The sequence below is a fragment of the Homo sapiens genome, chromosome 1 (genome assembly GCF_000001405.40).
Source record: "Homo sapiens chromosome 1, GRCh38.p14 Primary Assembly".
Lineage (NCBI taxonomy): Eukaryota > Metazoa > Chordata > Mammalia > Primates > Hominidae > Homo > Homo sapiens.
The window spans coordinates 33701432-33722841 of record NC_000001.11 but is presented as its reverse complement, the minus strand read 5'-3'; the positions used below and the strand labels follow the sequence as shown (position 1 = coordinate 33722841).

At 43.0% G+C, this 21410-nt stretch overlaps 1 protein-coding gene across 12 annotated transcripts in view; it reads left to right on the top strand.

Moving 5' to 3' along the window:
- CSMD2 (CUB and Sushi multiple domains 2) overlaps positions 1–21410 on the top strand; it is a 651845-nt gene that overhangs the window by 443001 nt on the left and 187434 nt on the right. For all 12 annotated transcript variants that reach the window (XM_047443685.1, XM_047443656.1, NM_052896.5 and 9 more), the window contains 3 exons: positions 6341–6556; positions 8067–8255; positions 13584–13753. In XM_047443685.1, the coding sequence (XP_047299641.1) occupies positions 6341–6556; positions 8067–8255; positions 13584–13753 (575 nt within the window). The remainder of the gene's footprint in view (positions 1–6340; positions 6557–8066; positions 8256–13583; positions 13754–21410) is intronic.

Genomic DNA, 21410 nt, shown 5'->3' with positions numbered 1-21410 from the left:
CCTCAGGTGGGCACGTACTTTAAAGAGTAACAACAAAGGTAGAATCCATAAAGGCAAAGACTGCTAGATTCAATTAAAAAAAACTTTGAAAGGATTTAGGTTAAAAAAAAAAAGTTCCATAAAAATTTAAAGTCAAATACTAAATAGAAAAAAAAAAATCGCAACATGTGATCGACTAAGGATTAGCAACCAGACACACAAAGAGTTCTTTAAAATTTTTAGGAGACATATGCCTAGCCAAACCAGCCCGCAAAATGAGCAAAGCTATAAAGTAACACTTTGTAACAGAGGAAATACAAATGGAAAATCATGGACCTCATTAATAATGAAACAAGTGTAATTTTAAAAGAGAAATACCATTTCCCTTTTTAAGTCATCAAAGAAAATTGTAACAGTCTGGGGGATAATGTGGACACTTGCATGCTATTGACTGCTGACATTGTGCGAAATGGTTCAGGCATTCCAGAGGGTGACTTGGTGATGTGAATCAAAAGTCTCGAAAATATATTGTAAGGGACTTAGGAATCTGCAGATTTTGGTATCCAAGGGTGGTCCTGGAACAAATCCCCTGCAGATACAGAGGGACAACTGTACCTGCCTTTGCATCTAGCAATTCCACTTACTGGAATTTATCTGAAGAAAATAAGTAAAACTCTACATCAAGATTTAGCTTCAAAGATTTCCCCTAAGATATTATGTATTATACTGAAAAATTAAGAACTATTAAAATGTCCATCAATAAGGAAATGTTAAATAAACATAGGGTATGGCCATAGAATAAAATACTAGGCAGCTCCTAAAAGGAATAACATGAAAGAATATTTAAAGACCTACAGGGGTGGTTGCAATACTTTGTTAAGTAAAAAAAATAAGTTTGCCAAAAGAATATATTTAGTTTAAAAGACATCCTTGTTTGCATAGAAAACAGCCTGGAAAAAATATACCCCAAGATGTTGTCTCTTATTTTCATCTTTTGGCTTTTTTCTAATTTTGAGCAGTAAACACATTACATCTAAAATATACTATTTGTATAACAAAGAAGATTTGAAAGAAAAGTCATTTATAGTCCCACCACATGTACTTAAGTGTGTCACTTGGCCTTTACTAGGCCTGCCCTACCCAGGGCTAGGGTGGCCTGGAGCTTACTGCATCAAGGCAAGACTAGCCAGGTGGTCAGGGTGAGGCCCAGGATTGTCCGCTTCCCACAACATTGTTCCTAAGGAGGGGAGGGCTGGAACAGTGTCCTTGTTCATCCTGCAGAGCTGTTTCCACCAAGCCTGGTCAGAGGAGACCATTGGAAAGAAAAGCAGCCCCTCACGATCCCTAGAGAAACAACCCCTGTCATTGTGGTTTTCTCTGTGTCTGGGCATCTGTGATTACAGGAGGTGTATGTTTTTCTGTGAGTTTCTATGTGTGTGTTTTTTCCTGGAAGTCAATCAAGCTCACCAACTATTTTACAAATGTTTATTTGATACTTGCACTACCCAAATTGCTAGGAAAACAGCTGAACAAGCCACTCTGCCAGTGCCTGCCTTCAGGAAGTTTATGCTTTAGTGGTAGTAGACAGCCTAAACCAAGATCTCAGTATATAGCATGACCAATATGTGATAGAGCAGACAGAGATGTGAAAACATCCCAAGCCCAGCCCAGGGCTTAGGAAGGTGTCCTGGAGTTGAGACTTCAGCTGGTCTTCAAAGATGAACAGGACATAGCCCGGTTGAAAGGTGCTCAGCAGAGAATCAACAAGAAATCATGGATGAATGACCAGATCACTTCTTCCTTAGAACCACTTAAAGGCATCACCTAATTCTTAGCATAGATCCCCAAATTATAAAATCGCTAGGCCAGGCACGGTGGCTCATGCCTGTAATCCCAGCACTTTGGGTGTCAAGGCAGGCAGATCACCTGAGGTTGGGAGTTCGAGGCCAGCCTGACCAACATGGAGAAACCCCGTGTCTACTAAAAATACAAAAAAAATTATTTGGCGGGGGTGGCACATGCCTGTAATCCCAGCTACTCAGGAGGCTGAGGCAGGAGAATTGCTTAAACCCAGGAGGCAGAGGTTGCGGTGAGCCGAGATCGTGCCATTGCACTCCAGCCTGGGCAACAAGAGCAAAACTTCATCTCAAAAAATAAGAAATAAAATAAAATAAAATAGCTGGCACAGCCTCATAGTCCTTACCTGTCTCAGCCTCATTCTGAGCCCTCTAAACTAAGTTCTAGCTACACAAAACTTCCTTCAGTTTCTGGAACTTGCCAGGCTTCCCTTCTCCTCTAGAGCTTTACACATTTGTACAATGTTCTTCTCTCTGGAACACTTCGTCTCCCCAAGCAAGGGGAATGGGAATCTCTGCCGTTGCCCTTGCCTGGCCAGCCCTTCATCCTTCTGAATCCCCTTCCTCTAATGAGCCTTCCCTGACCCCCTCTCCCCAGCTCTGCATCTAGGTTGGGCTCTTCTCCCCTGGGCTCCCATAGCATGCATTCTATACCTCCATGATTTCAGACTTTACTCCACTGTAGAGAACTTGCATTTTCATCATCAGTCTCCCTGACAGACTAGGAGCTCTGTGAGAGATAGGTCTGTCTTGTTTCCTGTAGTTTTCTTGGCTTCTGGCTCTATGCCCGGCACATAAGGAACTCAAGAAGCATTTGGTGATATGAATCAAATTGAACTGAGCCCAGGCCCTTCTCCAGAGGGCATTCTTCGTTCTCTGTTTCTAAGAGTATCTCGGGTTAACAGACCTATTAAGCTGCTGTCTGTGATTGCTCCCTAAGAGGCAGCAGTATGGCTCAGGAAACTCAAAACTCTGTGAAATTTGAAATAGTTCAACTTGCCACCTGCCCAGTCCAAGGGAGCAGCCAATTCAGGAGTCCTGAGAATGTGCCCTTGCTGAGACCCCAGAGCTGACACCTTTTAACCCGTGAGGCTTTCCGGGAGTTAGATGAGTTGAGCAAAGGGAATGCCTTCTGTTGCACCCCTACTGTGTGCCAGCCACTATGCTGTGTGCTTTGCATATACTTTCCCAGTTATGACTCACTTCGGGGGTAAATGTCACCTGTAAGAGAGATATTATTGCCTACATATTACAGTTGAAGAACCTGGAACCTGAGGTGTTAAGCAACCTTAGCCAAGACCTTTGAGCAGGTAAATGGGCTTTTGATCCAGGTGTTTCTTACCCCCAAGTCCATGCCTTTTCCACTGCCCTGCTCTTTCTGCTCCTATGTGGTATTGATGTCATTGGTACGATTTTGCTTGGTTCAGTCAAGTGAAGTATTTGTGTGTGCATCTGTCACATCAAATCTGGATTCAAACTCCAACATGGGGCCTCTCTATTTCTGCAACAATGTCTTCATTTTCACACAATGGCCCAAAAAGCCCCAAGCAGTCAGCGCAGCTGGGAAACCCAGAGGTTTCAGCTCAGATGTTTGCTCATCCTTAGAATCCCAGCCAAATGTTTACCCCTTTGGAAGGGCTCTATTTGCATGCTAGAAGAATAGAGTGCAAAGCGCGATGCTTAATCAACTTGTTTCCACCTGTGACTGGGTCTCACCCGCTCTCCACCCAACTCCATGTCCTAGGTAGGAGGGAAAGGACGTATATTTCCTAAGCTGTATAGACTGAGAACAGTTTTCTCATTTGCAGACATGTTTGTATGTCAGGAGTAGAGCATGCACGTGGGCACATGCACCCACAAGCCTTTTCACATCAAGGATTTTGACCCCCGTGAAGCCTTCCCAACCAGTGAGGCATAGTTCCCATTCTTCCTCCATGCCCCACTCTGAATTCTCACTAGTAGTGATGTGTCTGTCTTCTCCACTAAACTGGGAGATCTTTCTCAGTGCTTAGCACAAGGCCTGGCACTTGGTAGGTGCTTAGGCCTTGATGCTTCTCAGTTGCCTGGGAACAGGGTATTTACAAGCTGCATCTTTGGTCCCATCGCTTCTGTTGGGTTCTGTCTCCTCCACCTCTATCTATAGAAGCCCAAATCCTCCAGGATCACCAGCCTCTATCAACAGAGATGCAAGGATATAAAAACCTTTAAAATGCTTTAGCATTAGAGGCTTATCTCCAACCATCATTTATAAAAAATGTAGCAGTAATTATCTAGAGAAGTACTTCTCAAATTGTAAGTGTGTATAAATCATTTGGGATCTGAAGAGCATGCAGATTCTGATTCAGTAGGTCTTCAGTGGAGGCCAAAGATTCTGCAATTCTAGTAAGTCCCCCAGTGCTGACCACACTGCTGGTTCATGGACCATACTTTGAGTAGAAAGTGGGATCACACTTGGAGTAGCAGGTGGGTCCTAGTCTAACATGAGTTCCTGTCCTGGCACCATCCACAACACATAGTCCCAATAGGATACTCACTTGGTGTGATTCTGCATGGTTCATTCAAGTTAAGTATTTGTGTGTGCATCTGTCACATCAAATCTGGATTCAAGCTCCGACATGGGGCATGGCCCATGTGCATGGCCACGCACTTACACACATGCCCACCAAACACAACTGCCATCTGGACAAGTTCTAGAATTGCTTTGGGTGTTAAGACCATGCTGCTCTATAACTTCCCTCACTACCTGATCTCTTACCCTACCTGGCTGTTCTTAACTACCTGCTCTCTTTCTGTAGCCTGAGAGGCCGCACCCTGGAGTAGCTGAGAGCACAGCCTCTGCAATCGGATTGCCTTAGTTCAGATCCTAGCTCTACCACATACTAGCTGGGCGACCTTGGACAGATGACTTCATCTCTTTGTGCCTCCGTTTCCTTGGATGTAAACTGGAGATGATAATAACATACCCACGCCACAGGGTTCCTGGCAGAATTAAATGAGTTTTTCTGTCTCCCTTCCAAGGGACAGGGGCTGACTATAGTGCAAGTAAAAGCAGTTAGGACAGTAAATATTTAGTGCTTGAAATGTTAATGAATATCATTACTTTGATTTTATTTTATGCTCTTAACCTTCCCCCTTACTGGAGCTCCCTCCTCCCTCTTTCCAGCTCTCTGATTGCTCTTTGACCATCTCCCCCATCGCTCCAACTTCACCTGGTCTCCTACTCCCTGTCACTTCTGCCCATGCTTCCAATCACCCCTTCTCTGATTCTCACTCTGCCCTCTTCTCTCCTAGCCCTCTTCTCCTTGCTTGTGGCTTCAGATATCAACTATTTGCTGGTGACTCAAATCTACCTCTGTAGTCCCCCTTTAATCCTGAACTTCCAAATCTGTCCTTCCAGTGGCCCACTAGCTCTCACTGCTTGCATGCAGAAAAGGCTAAGTCCATTACTCTTCTACAACCCACACCTTCCTCCTGCGTGCCCTTCCCTAGGTAACAGAAGACATCACCATCCTTCAGGTGGACGTGCCACTGGATGTCATGTTATTTCTCCTTTGCATTAAGTGCCTGCTGTCTTGGCTACCCTACCCTGACCCCTGAAGGCTCATGGCCATCTCCTGCTCTTGCTCCTTCTGCCAAGCCCCATCCTCTCCCAGTGCAGAGCAGCCACCAATATAACTGATCTCCCTCCCTGCTCTCCCTCCACTTCATCCTCCTTACAGCCACCAACATCTTGCTAAAACTGAGATCTGGTCCACTCTGGATAGGATGGCTTCTCATTGCCTCCAGAAAAATATTGGGTCTGGCCCCCGTCTACCTATCCAGCTTCAATTCCAGGAGTAGCCACACCCAGCTGCTGCTCAACAAACCTGGAATTGACAGTCCCTTTACACATATGGGTCTCCTGCCTGGGACACTCTTCCTTCCCTTACCTGGTTAATTCCTGTGCATCCTTTTAAGATCCATGTCAATTGTTTACTCCTTGGTGAAGCCATCCTCCACCTGCCTCTTCCTGCTGTCAACTGCTTTCTGTTCCGGCCCCCATGGCATGCTGTCTACATTCATTCCAGCACTCAGCACTCTGTATTGCAGCTATTCGTTTAATGTCTGGTATATCCTCTTGCACCTAACCCTGGATCCTAGCCCATAGTAAAGACTCAACAAATACACAAATGCTTGTTGGATGAATTAATGAATGTCTCTAAAGCATTCTCATAGGTCAAGCCATAAATCTCTCTTTTAAATTTTGAGAACTGTAAAATTCTCCCTGTAATTTTAGAACTGTAAAAGAAGAACTGTAAAATTCTTCTCCCTGACTGAATCTCTGGGCACTTGTGTGTTCAGGTTCCTTCATTCAGATTCACCTGTATGATTTGTCAATGCATGCTTGTAGTCATACACACAGATAGACATTTGCAAACTGGAAATGTTTGTGTAGATCCTGTCTTGCAGCTGAGGTTCTCCAGCCATCTCGCCATCAACAACCTGACCCTCTGGTCTCTTGGCAGGTGTGTTCTTCACTTTCCACACCTTCCACCTGGAAAGTGGCCATGACTACCTCCTCATCACTGAGAACGGCAGCTTCACCCAGCCCCTGAGGCAGCTAACTGGATCTCGGCTGCCAGCTCCCATCAGCGCTGGGCTCTATGGCAACTTCACTGCCCAGGTCCGCTTCATCTCTGATTTCTCCATGTCATATGAAGGATTCAACATCACCTTCTCAGGTAAAGAGTATGAGGGTCCCTGAGGGGAAGAGACCATGGTGCTATTTGCTCTCTCCTTCTGCTACCAGTCTCTGGTTTTCCTAGCAGATAGATATTAATCCACTCTCCAGTCCCTGGGAAGTTGACCTTAGTGCTTCAGCAAAAGATGCTTGGGTTAGACCCAAGTAAGAACTTACCTATAATGGTCTTGGAAGGAGTTAGCATAATCACTGAGGATTCTTATTCTATGAAGGTGTTTAGGATTTGCTCTGAACATGGCCCACCTAGCTGGATGAACTAGAGGACTTCACAAAAGTCCCTTCCTACCTTAGTTATTCGAGATTTTTCTTCTGATTCCACTTCCACATTGCCAACCCCAGCAATATGAAAAAAAAAAAAGGTTTGAAATTAACATATTGGAGTGGTTTAGTCTCATTTGGGATCTTTTTCATCAATGCTAATTTTGTAGTAATAGATATTTATCTCTCTGTTTAGGGATTTGGAAAAGAAAGTGCTTTTATTTGGCATTCAGGGAGAAAAGAGGACCCTTGGCTCCTCTCATACCGAGCCCTTCACCATTCTTGTCCCGTAGCACCCCAGAGTACCTCCCTCCACCTTTCTCAGCCACGGCCAGGAGTATCAGATGGATTCCTCCTGGGATGGACAAGAGGTATCCAGCTTCTAGGAACTGGGGTGTGGCCCAGCTTAGTCCCCTGCCAGGCCTCCAATGCAGAAGTCACCTGTCACATCCCTGGATTCACTTGGCCAATGGGACATATCCAGCCAGTGAGACTCAACCCTTATGAGAGAGACCCTCTTTCTCATCACACATCCCTGGAGGACTGCATCCTGAAGGGAGAAGCCCTTGCAGACGAGGGACTAGTCACTTCTATGCTGTCACTAGAGGCCCCAGGCAGGGCTTTGGCCCATAAATGCCCCTGGTCATGCTTGCCGTCTGCCTCAAGTGCCAACGTAGCTGAGACATGGCTTCTCGTCAGGCATTTGGAGTGTCTTCACCAGTGGGAGTTGCCTGAGGCTAAGTCATGTATTCTGACCTTCTAGAACCTGCTGGTTGAATGTATCTAGTTTGTTGCCCAGAGACAAGGAAGCAGGAGAGCCTGTGAGCCCCAAGGCACAGGTTTAAAATGGAGATAAAAGGATAGCACAGAGAAGAGCTGAGTCCTGAGGATCCTCAGAAATCCTCCTGGGAAGCCTGTCTAGGAAAGGCTGTGCCCTTTCACTGCTCACAGGAGTGGGTGCAGACCGCCCGTCCTGGCCTCCCCGTGCTTCTCTCTGCCTCTGCCTCCCCGTGCTTCCCCATGTTTCTCTCTGCCTCTGCTCCCCTCGGGCTCTCACTTCTTCTCTTTTTGGGCCAGTGTCACCTTTTGTGGGCCAGTGTGCGCATGCCCTCTTCTCTGTCTTTCGTTGTCCCTGGCCCTTTCCCCCTGGTGTTTTGCCTGTGCGTTCCCATCTTTTTGCTTTGTGTCTCCCCGCAATGTCTCTGAGCCCGGATCTCCTGCTACCTTTCCAGAGTACGACTTGGAGCCCTGTGAGGAGCCCGAGGTCCCAGCCTACAGCATCCGGAAGGGCTTGCAGTTTGGCGTGGGCGACACCTTGACCTTCTCCTGCTTCCCCGGGTACCGTCTGGAGGGCACCGCCCGCATCACGTGCCTGGGGGGCAGACGGCGCCTGTGGAGCTCGCCTCTGCCAAGGTGTGTTGGTAGGTGGTCACGTGCTTTCATTTTGCTTCACTAATGGGGTGGGACAGATTATAGTCAATTGATGTGAGGTGGTGGACGGCACACAGGCCAAGAGGCTGACTTAGCCCACACTTACCACACTTACCTGCAGTGGGACCCGGGGCAGGTAACCTAACCTCCTTCTGCTCCATCCTCCTTATCTGCAAAATAGGGATGGCAATCCCTGCTTCATCAGGCAGTTCTGTATAAACTACAGTGACCTTTACAAATTAGGTCCACAGTGGGCACTCACATGAAGTCGATTTCAGTACTCTTACCTCCCCACCCTCAGCACACAGACCCATGGCTTAAGGATGCCTCTTACCGAGGAATCTGGATGGGCACTAGGTGGGCCTGTAGGAGGGGTATATGACCTTTGCCCAGGGGGAGTCCCCATCTGGAGGAGTAGATGGGTGCTTTTACTAATCCAATGGCGGTGCTCACTCTTAGAGACGCCTTAGGAAGGCTTCATCCATTCAGCAGGGGAGGACAAAAGGAACAGGGGCGGGGTCATTTATAGATGACCCACTACATCTCAGGCATCTGCTAGGTTCTGAAGGTACAAAGGTGAACAAAACAGAGAAATTCTTCACTCGTGGTCCACATTCTGGTGGTGGGGACACAAGCTGTGAATATTTAGATATGTGATGTGTCAGGCAGTGTTGAGGCATACAGAGAAAAATTAAGTCAGCTTAGAAAGTGCTGGAGCTAGGGTTGCTCTTTTATCATGGTCAGAAAAGGCCTCTCTGATGAGTTGACGTTTGGCCAGAGATAGATATCTGGGAGAAGAGGGAACAGAGGACCAAGACCCAAACCATGAGCATGCTCAGCATTTGAGGAACAGCTCAGAGGCCAAGCTGGAGCAAGCGGCAGGGAGAACAGGAGATGTGGAGGTTAGAGGCAGCTGTTGGAAGTTGGAAGTGGGCCCTGCCAGCCTCCTTGCAAGAGCTTTAAAGAAGTCTGTTCAGAGCGCTGTGCCCAGGTAGTAGGGGAAGCAAGTATTTTCCCCAGGGCGGAGTGATTGCTGTCTGTCCCTAATGTATGAGGCTCCTGGGTGCCTGTTTGCTCAATCCTTATAATGTAGGGCTGGATAAAACACTAGCTGCATTCATGGAGTATTTTCCATGCTCACTGTTAGCCATGGACCTCACGTAAAGTGAAATAGTATATAAAACCCCATAAAAATATACAAAACAGATCAAAGCAGCACTGCACTGACTGAAACAGGGACCAGCATCTCAAATGCCAGTGAGGTCAGCTGTGCCCGAGACAAGTCCATGGAGCCCTCAGGCTATGCCGAGGACAGCTTAGACAGGCTGGCAAGATGAGCCGGGCCCAGGCTGTGCACTCATGCAGGCCAAGGTGGGGTCACTGCTCTGCCACTTACCAACGCCTAGATCTCAGGCAGGCCAGCAAACCCCCTTAACCTCAGCTTCCTTGTTTATAAAACAGAGATAACAGCATCCAATTCACAGGCTTTACTCTACCTTAGATGACATCATTTACATAAACCAAGAGGTGGCATATAATTATCAGCATTTTGCCAATAACATTTTTATCTGTATTTATCAATAACCAATTATTGTTATTTTGCCAATAACCTTTTACAATCTCAGAAAGGAAACATTAAAACAAAGAGCTACAGAATTCCATTTCTGAACAATTAAATAACCCCAGGGTTTACTCCGTCTCCTATAACCATCCCCAAAGGCATCCACCCACCCTGATCTGGCCACACACACTCAGAAACACATAGAACCCCGCCACCCACCCCAGGAAGGTTCAGTTCATGTCTGGCTGCTAGCAGCTCCTTTAGTCTCTGGGAAAGCATCCTCAGCTAAATGGTTCTGGGGGAAATTCTCCTTGAATGGAATTAACCAGGACCACAGATGCACACAGCCCTTAAGCTCTTGCCTCATTGATCTCATTACATAAACTCATTCTTTAACTTATTATTCCAATTACTGTTTGTTCATGACACCTCACAATATTTTCATTATTACATTTGTCTTCTGTTTCACATGTTATTAATAATGCACAGTAGTTATAGTCACCTCTAATTACCACCAGCCCTGCTGCCGAGGCTCAGGCTGGAGGCATCTCAGGAATGCCCACCGGGGGCTGCTCCCAGTCGCCATGCAAATTGGATGATTTAGTCCACATAGTGCTACCAGGAACATTTCCAGCCGAGAAGGAGATGAACAGCCCTGGGCTTTAATGCATGGTGTGACGTGGGTGGCGGGGAGGGAGGTGACATAGCCCCTGACATCAGGGGCCCCTGAATTTGATGTAGAAGAGACAGCCCTGACCCCAGGGGACCCCAGTCTGCAGCAAGAGACATGGCCCTGTCCTTGGGAATCCTGGTGTGATGGAGAAGACCTAACCCTCTGCCTCAGAAGCCCCAGGCTGATGGATAAGGTACAACCTCTGCCCTTAACGAGACCCCTTCTGATGGGGGCGACAGAAGTCACAGATGCCAGAATCAGCCACAGCACTTACCTGTGGTTGTGACTGTTTGTTTCTCTGGAACATTTATTTGTTTCCATTTGTGCCTGTGTTTGGCTTCTAAGTTCATCTGTTCACCTCCCCTGTTACTTTGGAGACTCTCCCGGAAGCAAGTGCCCCGTCCCTCTATCCCTCCTGTCCCCTCCCTGGTGCCCAGGACAAAGGCCTGACAGGGAGTCAGGACCTGGGGATTGGCCAAGGACTGGCCACATCTAAAGCTATCAGCCCCTCCTCGTAAAGGTATCAGGCGTGTGGGAAGGAGGAGAGGCTCGTGCTGGGGCAGAGGTGGGGCACATAGCTCTTATGCAGGAAGCAGGGCCAGGAAGGAGGTCCAAAAACACACCCAAGCCCATGTTTAAGGGAAGCCAGCTGTCGAGAATTAGGCAGAGGGCAAGAGGCATCAGGAACCATGAGGGTGCTGTGAGCCTCGGGCAGCTAATGCACGCTTCCCATATGCTTCTCAGGCTTTCTGCCAGTCCCAGAATCCAGGCAGTTAGGGTTCCAAATGGAAGCAGGTAATCCATGTAGATTCACCTGGGACATTGGTGGAGAGGCTACTATGTGCTAACCATTCCCCTATGTTTACCTATCTTATATATAAAATCTCATGCGTTGATTCTACAGTCTTATGAGAATGCTATTATTGTCCAGATGAAGGCAGATGAAGAGATTAAATTTCAGTGAGTTGACACAATGTATCTAACTCCAAAGTCCATGATCATCCCACTGCACCACAGGCCTCTGCCTAGATGGAGGGGAAAGGTAGTAATCTCAGAGAAAATGGAGAGATGCTTCAGAAGGCTGCCCATGTGATATGACTGAGTAATAAGTGTTTACATATGCATGGCCCTAAGCAACTCCCCCTCCCCCCGACAAATCCTCACCCTCACCCTCATCTGAGATCATCAAAGAAATGTACACATGCTGGAAACGTCTATGTAAATTATCAGCAGCCACTGCCCCCAGGGAGCCTGCCCACCACTGTCCCTTGAGTTTTATGAGCCATCTCAGCACATTCATCATGATATTTGGAAGTTTTGCAAACAGACTAAGTTTAAAAGTACTGTAAAGTTAGATTTCTCCTCCAAGAGAAATAAATGAGGCCATATATAAAGTCTTAGGAAACTGAAGCTGGTCCTGAATTGAGCAGGACACAGGGAGGAGGGTCCATTCAGAAAAGTAGGGACTTGGTGGTGGGACATGTGGCCCCCATCTTCAAAGGACTAATGAGGAGCCTTAGGACAAGATAAAACACAAGATGTATAACTAAGCCCATGAGCAGCTTATGTTTCCATGTTCTGAAGGTTTCCATGTTCTCCATCTATGCTGCCTCAGCCTAGTACGCTCCTGGCTTAGGGTAATTAGGGTTAACTATAAGGCCCAAGCAATGGCCCTTTGGTCAACCCCAGGGCTTTTCTAGCCACAGACTGTGCCTGGACTGAAGGATACTGAGGGATGGTTTAGAGAAAGCAGATTTGCTACCAGCCGCCTGAAAGATTCAAGGCATGCTCCAAATTCCCCATATGTCCACACGAATAACAGGCCTGCCATCTGGACTTGTATTTACATCCTTCCGGAACCTAATTATTATTTTTAGGACTGTACATCTTCTGAGGTCAGTGTACTCCATATCCATTCATTCATTCATTCATTCATTCATTCAGTAAATATTTATTTTACAGACAATCCAGGCTAAGCCTTGGAAATTCATAGATTCATCCAGCATGACCCTAGCCCTCAAGTTACTGACAGTTTAGGTGGGGGACACAGGACAGGCAGCAAGCAATCAAGGTGCAATATGGGAGGTGCTCAGATACAGGAAGGAACAGGGAGGGGCCCCCCAATTATTAAAGATCCCATTCCTCTGTGCATGCCCTAAGCCTGCCCTGCCTACGCACTGTGTGGGTGTTAAGGAGACAGTAACACGACCAAGCCCCAAAGGATCCACAGTGCAGTAGAGGACATAGAAATGTTAACAAATAAGTGAAGTAAAATGGGATGACTACTATAAATAAAGGTATGAGAACAATGGGGAAAGAATGACTAATTCTGGAGGAGGAGAAGCAGTTTCCAGAGGAGGGTGTGATTTCATTAGCTGTTGAATGAAACAGGCTGCAATGAGACTATGCTAAAAACTTTCCCCAGGACCCAGGAGGTTGAGTTCTCAGCCCCCTCCTCCTCGTGAATCCACAGAGAGGCTTGGTCTCAGTGGTTGAGTACCTGGTTCCTTATCTTTAAACCAGAAATGATCATTGTGCCTACATTATGGGGCTGGCTGTTGCGACTAATGACTGAAATGGTCCTTGTAAAGTGTCAATCGTGCTGTTTTGCACATAAGGGTTAGCGATTATGATGTGATCTTGCCCCCTCTTAGTTTCTATTCTGTGATACTGAAAGGCTTCATCTCTCCTCACTTAACTGCCCCCCTCTTCCCCTGACCTCCTCCTCGGTCATTTCTGTTGCTACGCTACTATATGAATAGGTATGTGGCACGGCTGCTTTATAGCACTGAGAAATTGTAAAGGATGCCTGGTGGGTTAGCGTCTGTTTCTGTAGGAGAGAGACAGACAAACAGCACAAGAGACAGAAACAAAGCAGGCAGCACCATAGGTAGGGAAGTATTTTTTTTTTAAGTTTGAGAGGCATTTCTGTAGACAGTCCAACAACTGGACAGACACGCAGGCACCTTGGCAGGTAGACAGGCAAACGACTTGTCATCTTTGTCAGGTTCTTCAGAGCTGTGAGTTGCTTTCTGGATGCAGCTGATGGGGGTTAATCTATGGTTATTGTGATTCTCTTTCCAGCTGAGTGTGGGAATTCAGTCACAGGCACTCAGGGTACTTTGCTGTCCCCCAACTTTCCTGTGAACTACAATAACAATCATGAATGCATCTACTCCATCCAGACCCAGCCAGGGAAGGGAATTCAGCTGAAAGCCAGGGCATTCGAACTCTCCGAAGGAGATGTCCTCAAGGTAAAATTGATCGATTTCAGAGTATGTGTGTTATAGTATGCAATAGTCTAGTCAATACTCACTCCTTTGTCTCTGTGTGAATGATCCAAACTTTCTCCTTCCTTCCTGAGTCCCAAAATACTGTCCTCACTCATCTGGGAGAAAGAGAGGACCAAAAGAGAGGGGTATATGGGTATCTAAGAATATGGTTTTAGAGTTTGTTTAGAAGCTGCCTGCTATCAAATGCATGTGTAATTGAGTATGGGTTGACTGCATAATAAAAGACAATAATTTAGCTTAGGGAACATGGCAAAGCCCCATCTCTACAAAAAATACAAAAATTAGCTGGGTGTGGTGGTGCATGCCTGTAGTCCCAGCTACTGGGTAGGCTGAGGTGGGAGGGTCACTTGAGCCAGGGAGGTTGAGGTTACAGTGAGCCATGATCATGCCACTGCACTCCAGACTGGGTGACAGAGTCAGACCCTGTCTCAAAATAATAATAATAATAATAATAATAAGTTCGGTTGGAGCAGCCAATGGATCCAGTTTTCCATTTTGAGCCCTGACCGTCAACATGGATGATGAAGAGCTCATAGAACATGTATATATATGCATGTGTGTGTTCATTTGTGTAGCTATGTATTTATGGATATAGATGCTTTTTTAAATATGTTTCCACCTGTGTGTGAATCGGTGTCCATGTATTTATTTGGTTTTGGGGATCTGTGTCTGTGCATACCTGTGTCAGCATATTGTGTGTATGTGCACTTGTGCATTGTGTATGTTTTGGTTGAATAACAGGCTATTGCAGTAGCTTCAGTGTACTACGATGATGGCCTGGTGTGGCAGTGGGGTTAAAGAAAGTGAGTTTGAGACATATGTAAGGGAAGGAAATGATAGGACTTGGATTACAGAGAAGGTCATAGAGAGGGATTTGTTAAGACACTGAGCATATATGTCTTATGTTTCTTTGCATAAATACAAAGAATATGTGATTGAGTACCTCCAATAATGTGTGGTGTATGTCTGTGTAATCACAGAGTTGAGCGTGGAGAATTTATTAAAGAGCTGCCTTAATAAAATGAATGATAAGGAAAGCCTCATACAAAGCATGTTCATTTTCATTCTAGGCCAAGGAATTTTTTTAGCTTTTTCTAATATAGTTTTATTCCTTGTAGCCAGAGAAGTCCTTACATTGGAAAAAGTTGAACCAGAGCCCACTACTCTGGAAAATCCAAAGATAAACCATTAAATTTCCATGCTTTCAGATTATCTCCAGATGTGATAAATGTGCTGTCCTTTTTATGTACAGATGATGGATACTCTTGGCCAACCCCCTGGGGCATATGTCCTCTGGGGTGTATGGTGTGTGTGTGTGTGTGTGTGTGTGTGTGTGTGTGTGTGTGTGTGTGTGCGCGCGCGCGCGTGTGCACGCGTGCGTGTTTGAAATGCATTTCTCACTCTTACCTAATCCTTTTTGAACCCAAGAAGATTCACTCATGAGATCACTGGCTGGGACTGGATGTGCCTGAAATGGGATAGAACAATCTCATTGGCTTCTTAAGCTCTGCTTTCCAACCCCACATAAAAACAGTGTGTGTCTCCCAACAAGAGAATACAAGACAAGGGTTTTATGCCCTTCCAATAACCATGTCTTTAGGCATCACCCTTGACCTTCACTTCCCTCCATCCATTTGAGTCTCAGAGGGTGCAATCAGTACAGCAGCACCAGAGGGACCTCCTCTCTGTAGAGGTACAGATGGAGTAACGCAAGCTGGGCAATGCAGAGGCTTTCTTGGATGAAGGCCATTAGCACAAAAAGCCAGCTTTGAGGCATAGTTTACAATTTTCAGGTTTTGAAGGGAGTATAAGCAGTGGTTCTGTGCAAGTGACCTGATAGAGCCAGCAGAAATGGCTCCCAGGTTGCTGGAGGTCATATGGAGTATGGCCAGTGCCCATGCTTCCTCACTAAGGGGGTCTAGATTCAGAATAGCACCTAAGACATAGTCAGCAGGTGTGCACACTCAACGGCACCGTCAGGGTTCTGGCTTCAGGGTCAGGTGGGCAGCTCAGTAGATAAGCAGAGAGAGTCTTTCTGAGGTGGTCAGGGTAAGAAAGGAGGAGGGACATGGGGCATAAAACCTAGGTCAGAGTTCAGGGAGGACTAACAGAGGATGCAGGAGCCCAGGTAGTGCACACACATACGTGCACACACACACGCATACACAAACACATGCACACACATGCACACGCACACAATGCACACACGCACACACACATACACACGCACGCACAAACACATGCACGCGCACACACACACACGTACATGCACACACACACACACTCTTTAGCACCAGGGTAGGAAATGCTCCTGCTACGGCCTCTTTGAGTTTAGCTCCTCTGCTCTCCCTTAGAGACTGCTGAGTGTTTCCATTCCCAATTTCCATTTTCCCTCTGTTGTGGTGTGCCAACAAGAAAATTAACTGGATATGTGTAAATATTCAGTAGATCAGAAGAAGAAGACATGTCTTCGGAATCAGAGCTAATTGCCCCTCTGTAGGCAACGAAGAACAGAGACATACTTTAAAAGCTCCTAATTTGTATTCTTAAGAGAATTTGAGAGAATATTATATTTATGACACAAAAATAGGCAATAATGAAAACAGAGCAATCTGAGATGAGGAGAGATTGAATAGAGATGAAAAACATGATCACCCAATTAAAAAATGGAATGGAGGCAATGAACGGAAGATGGTAAACCACAGAAAAATGAAATCAGTTTATTAAAAGATAAATTTGAGAATTTCTCCCACATCTCATAAGGAAATGAAAAAGAGGATTATTTTATATTAATAAAATGGATAATCAATCCACAGTAAAACTTTATGTGCCAAATAACATAGCACGAATAAATTAAATAAAAACCGCTGGAAATGTAAAACAATTTAATAAAGTTACAGCCATCATGGAAGATTTTAATATACCTCTGTAAGTCTGTGACATATCACCTAACTTAACGATAAATAAAGATTTGGGTAGCTTGAATAATGTAACATAATAAATCAGAAGAAAGTAGGAGAAAGATACTTTTAAAGATAAAGGCAGAAATGACTAGAGAAACAAAACTAAAAAGCAATAGCAATTGTCAACCAAACCAACTGTTTTTTTTTTTTTTAAATAATAAAGTAGACAATACTAGCAGAACTGATCAAGGAATAAAGAAGCCACAAATATGTAATATTAGGAATTGAAAAGGGACATAATCAAAGATATAGGAGAGATTATGGAAATAAGAAAATGTTTAGGGATCACGCCACTGCACTCCAGCCTGGGCGACAAAGTGAGACCCTTTTTCAAAAAAGAGAAGGAATGTTTAGGAACAACTGTAAGCCAAGAAATCTGAAAGCTCAGATGAAATGGAAATTTTTATAGATAAAAAGTACTAATATTAAAAAAAATCTGAAAAAAAAACAATGACCATTAAAAAATTATGATTCCCCCGTATCCTCTCTCAAAAGCCCCAGGCCTTAACTATTTTACAGGTAAGCTTAACAAAACTTCAAGAAGCAATTAATCCCTGCAATAAACTCTTCAGAAGAGAGAAAAATAAAGAACCATCTCCCAACTCATTTTTTCTTAATGAGGCAAGTAGAAACTTTGGTATCAACGAGTAAAATTATGGTTACCAGGGGATTGAGGGAATGGGGAGATAATGGTCAAAGTATAGAAAGCATCAATTAGACAGAAGAATTAAGGGTTTCTTTTTCCTTTGAGATGTATTGCACGTTACAGTGAATATAGCAAATAATAATGTATCATACATTTCAAAATCACTAAAAGAGTAAATTTCAAATGTTCTCACCACAGAAAAAGATAAGTATTTGAGGTGATGGTTATGTTAGTTTGATTTACTAATTCCACATCGTATTCATAAATCATAACATACTTTCTACTGCATGAATATATTCAGCTATAATTTATCAATTTATAATTTAAAATAAAAATTTTAAAAAGAACAGAAATCAGAAACTATTAGGGCAGTCTCACTTTTGATCACAGATCTAAAAATTTTGAGTATAAATCTGATTGAATTTGGCTATGTATTAAAACAAAGATGAGACCATCCTGGTTAATACAGTGAAACCCTGTCTCTAGTAAAAATACAAAAAAAAAAAAAAAATTAGCGGGACGTGATGGCGGGTGCCTGTAGTCCCAGCTACTTGGGAAGCTAGGGCAGGAGAATGGCGTGAACCTGGAAGGTGGAGCTTGCAGTGAGCCAAGATTGCAGCCACTGCACTCCAGCCTGGGTGACAGAGAGAGACTCCGTCTCAAAAAACAAACAAGCAAACAAAGACGACCAAGTAGGTTTGATTCCAGGAATGTGAGGATGTGTCAAAATTAGAAAAGCTCATAATGTTATTTGTTAGACAAACCATATGAAATTGCTATTTTTGTAGGTCAAAACTGTTAAAATATTGGCAATTTCATGGCTCAACCTAATAGCCTATAAACAGATTAGCAAAGAAAAAGACATTATCCTGCTAATACACCCCAAAACATCATGTGATTAAGTTCAACACCCACTCATGATTTTTGAAAACATCTCATAAAACTACAAATAGAACTTTCCTAACTTGATAAAAATATTTCTACCAAATGCCTATAGCAAACATTATACTTAATGGCAAAACTTCCTAAAGATTTTCAGTAAAGTCAAGAACAAGATCAATAGTTCTACTATCACCAATAGAACGCAGCATTGTACTGAAGAGACAAACCATTACATTTATACCAGAAAAAGAAAAAAAGGAACTATAAAAATTAGAAAGGAATATAGAAAATTGTGACTTTTGTTTCAAAAATACAAAACAATCAACTAATAAACTCAAAATCAATAAGAAAATTCACAAAGCTTCTGGTGTTTCTATAACCAAATAAAACTTGCAATCAGGAGGGAAAGTCTCATTTATAATAGAAACAAAAACTGTAAGACACCTAGAAATAAGCCCTCCAAAATGTGCATGATCTTAACTGAGAGAAGATAAAATTTTATTTTGATATTGATGTAACTAAAATAAATGCAGGGAGATTTCATTCTCATGGATGCACAGAGGGTATGAAAAGGCAGGCAATTCACAGAAAAGGAAGTAAGAACTGTTGATAAACATAAAAAGATGCTCAACTTCAATGGCGATCAAGGATTTACATATTAAAGTGAGATACCACTTTACACTCATCAAATTGGAAAACATCATAATGCCCTAAAATACCAAGTATCAGCAAGGATATAAAGCAATGAAAGCTGTCAGACGTTGCTGGTGAGAGAGCAAATTGCTATTCCTTTTCAAAGAGCAATCTGGTAATATCTAACCAAATTGAAGATGTGTCATCCCCACAACCAGCTTTTCCATGCTAGATGTATGCTCTAGAGAAACTCAAGCACACGTGTGCAAGCGGACATGCAGGAATATTCATAGAAATTATGCTTACATTGTTTGTAATTGTGTATAGAAAGCTTTCTGCTTAGCATATTCATTTTGAAACCAGCCATCTTGCTGACCTGCTTTATTGGATGTAATGGATGTGCATAGATTCTCTTGGATTTCTCAATCACCTGCACATAATGATGAATTGGACCATCAAGCAATATTCTGTTAGGAAATAAATGTATACAAAGGCCCAATTCCCAATAGCAATCAAAAATATAAAAATACCCAGGAATAAGAACAGAATGGTAGTGAGAGACATAAAAGACATTTTGATTAAATGGAGCTAGACACCATGTATATGGATTGGAAGACTCAATATCACATAGATAGATTTTTCTCAAATCCGTCTATACATTTAATGTAGCTCAGTCAGAATTACACAAGTTTTGTTGGGGAGTTTTTTGTTTTACTTTTTATAATTCAGGAAAATTCTTGAGTTTAGAAGAGTACATCTGGGAGAATTTTGTTTAAGTTAAAAGAAGACAAATGAGGACTTTTCCTACTAATTATTTAAATATATTGTAAAGCTACAGTAGCTAAAACAGTGTGGGTCATGCACAGGAATAGACAAATAGACAAATGCAATAGAATAGAAAGTTGACAAACAAAACCAAATGTATATAATTATATGTTAATTATATATGTGATAAAGACTGATTTGAAATTAGTAGTGTGTGGAATATTTACAAACAGAGTTTGGTTAAATGACTAATCTATCAGGGAGTTAAGGTAGAATTGTATATCATATCCCAAAATAAATTCCAGGTAGATTTAACGACATGAATTCTAGAGGAAAATATTGGTTTATTTATCATACATTTACTGAGTGAGCCTTATGTGCCAGAGCATATATTTTGGGCGCTGATATGTAAATAATTATCTTGCAGATTGGGTTAATTTTTATTATAGAAATTCCTGCCACCATTTAAATGCTGTTATGGAAAAAATATTTAATGACTTTAAAAATATACACATTATATTAAGTGAAAGAGCAGTTTGCCCTATAGTATCTATAATTCGATCTTATTGTTATAAAAAATTATAAAAACATAAATTTATGCAAGGAAATAAATGCATAGAATAAAGGCTAGAAGGACACTTACCAACATGTTGTAAGTTCTGAAAGTTATTTGCACATTTCTGTTTTATAAGTTTTTCTGCAATTAATATTGTAATGATGCAAGTAACATTTTTGTTCTTGATGAATTAGGATGAATTATGCTTGGAAATTAAGGAAAATATCCTGTTCCCATCATACTTTTTATTAATTAACCATAATTTCTTAATAGCATCATATATCCAGTGAGGGTTTAAATTTCCAATTATCTCATAGATGTCATAATATTTTTTAAATTTATAGTTTATTTGAATCAGGATTCAATAAGGTCCACACATTAGATTCATTGTCTGATGTGTTTTTTAATCTGTAGGTTTCTCCCTCCATCTCTTTTCTTTTCCCCCTTGTAACTTACTTGTTGAGGAAATCAGATCATTTGTTCAGTGGAACTTTCCACTCTGGATTTTGCTGAATGCACTCACAGGGTATCATTTCGTATGTTCCTCTGTCCTCGGTATTTATTGCCTGTAAGTTGGAAATTGGATCCAGTGGCTTGATCTGATCAGGTCTGATTTTTTGGGCAAGATAACTCCATGGGTGATGGTATATCTTTTATTAAAGAAACACATGGTGTCTGATTGTCTTTCTTACTGCAATTGATGATTATTATTTCTTATTGCAATTGATGATTCCTAGTCCATTGATGATAAATGCCTTGGTCCATTGATTTCCATATGTTTCGGTGATTAAAAATATTTTTGTAACAATTTAAGCTAAACTCTTTGAACTTGTATTATCTTGATGTCTGTTGGAACCCCAGAATTCACTCAGTCTATCAGTGATACACAGCAATTACACAAGGATCTGGAAACAGACTTCAGGCTCCCAGGAGCCTAAACAAATCTCTGTAATATACAACACTGTTAGTTTGAAGGATGGCTTCTTTTAGAAAGCTTTGCTTCATAAATAGTACAATGGAAATATTGTGCCAATTTGCTGGCAGCTGGCATCACATTGTGTGCCATGCACAAATATTCATCACCCACTCAGAGATCCCATCTTTGATATTTACAAAAGCACCAGGGGGTCTTTCACTCAATCACAACTTCTGTTGTTATTTGTACAATTATCT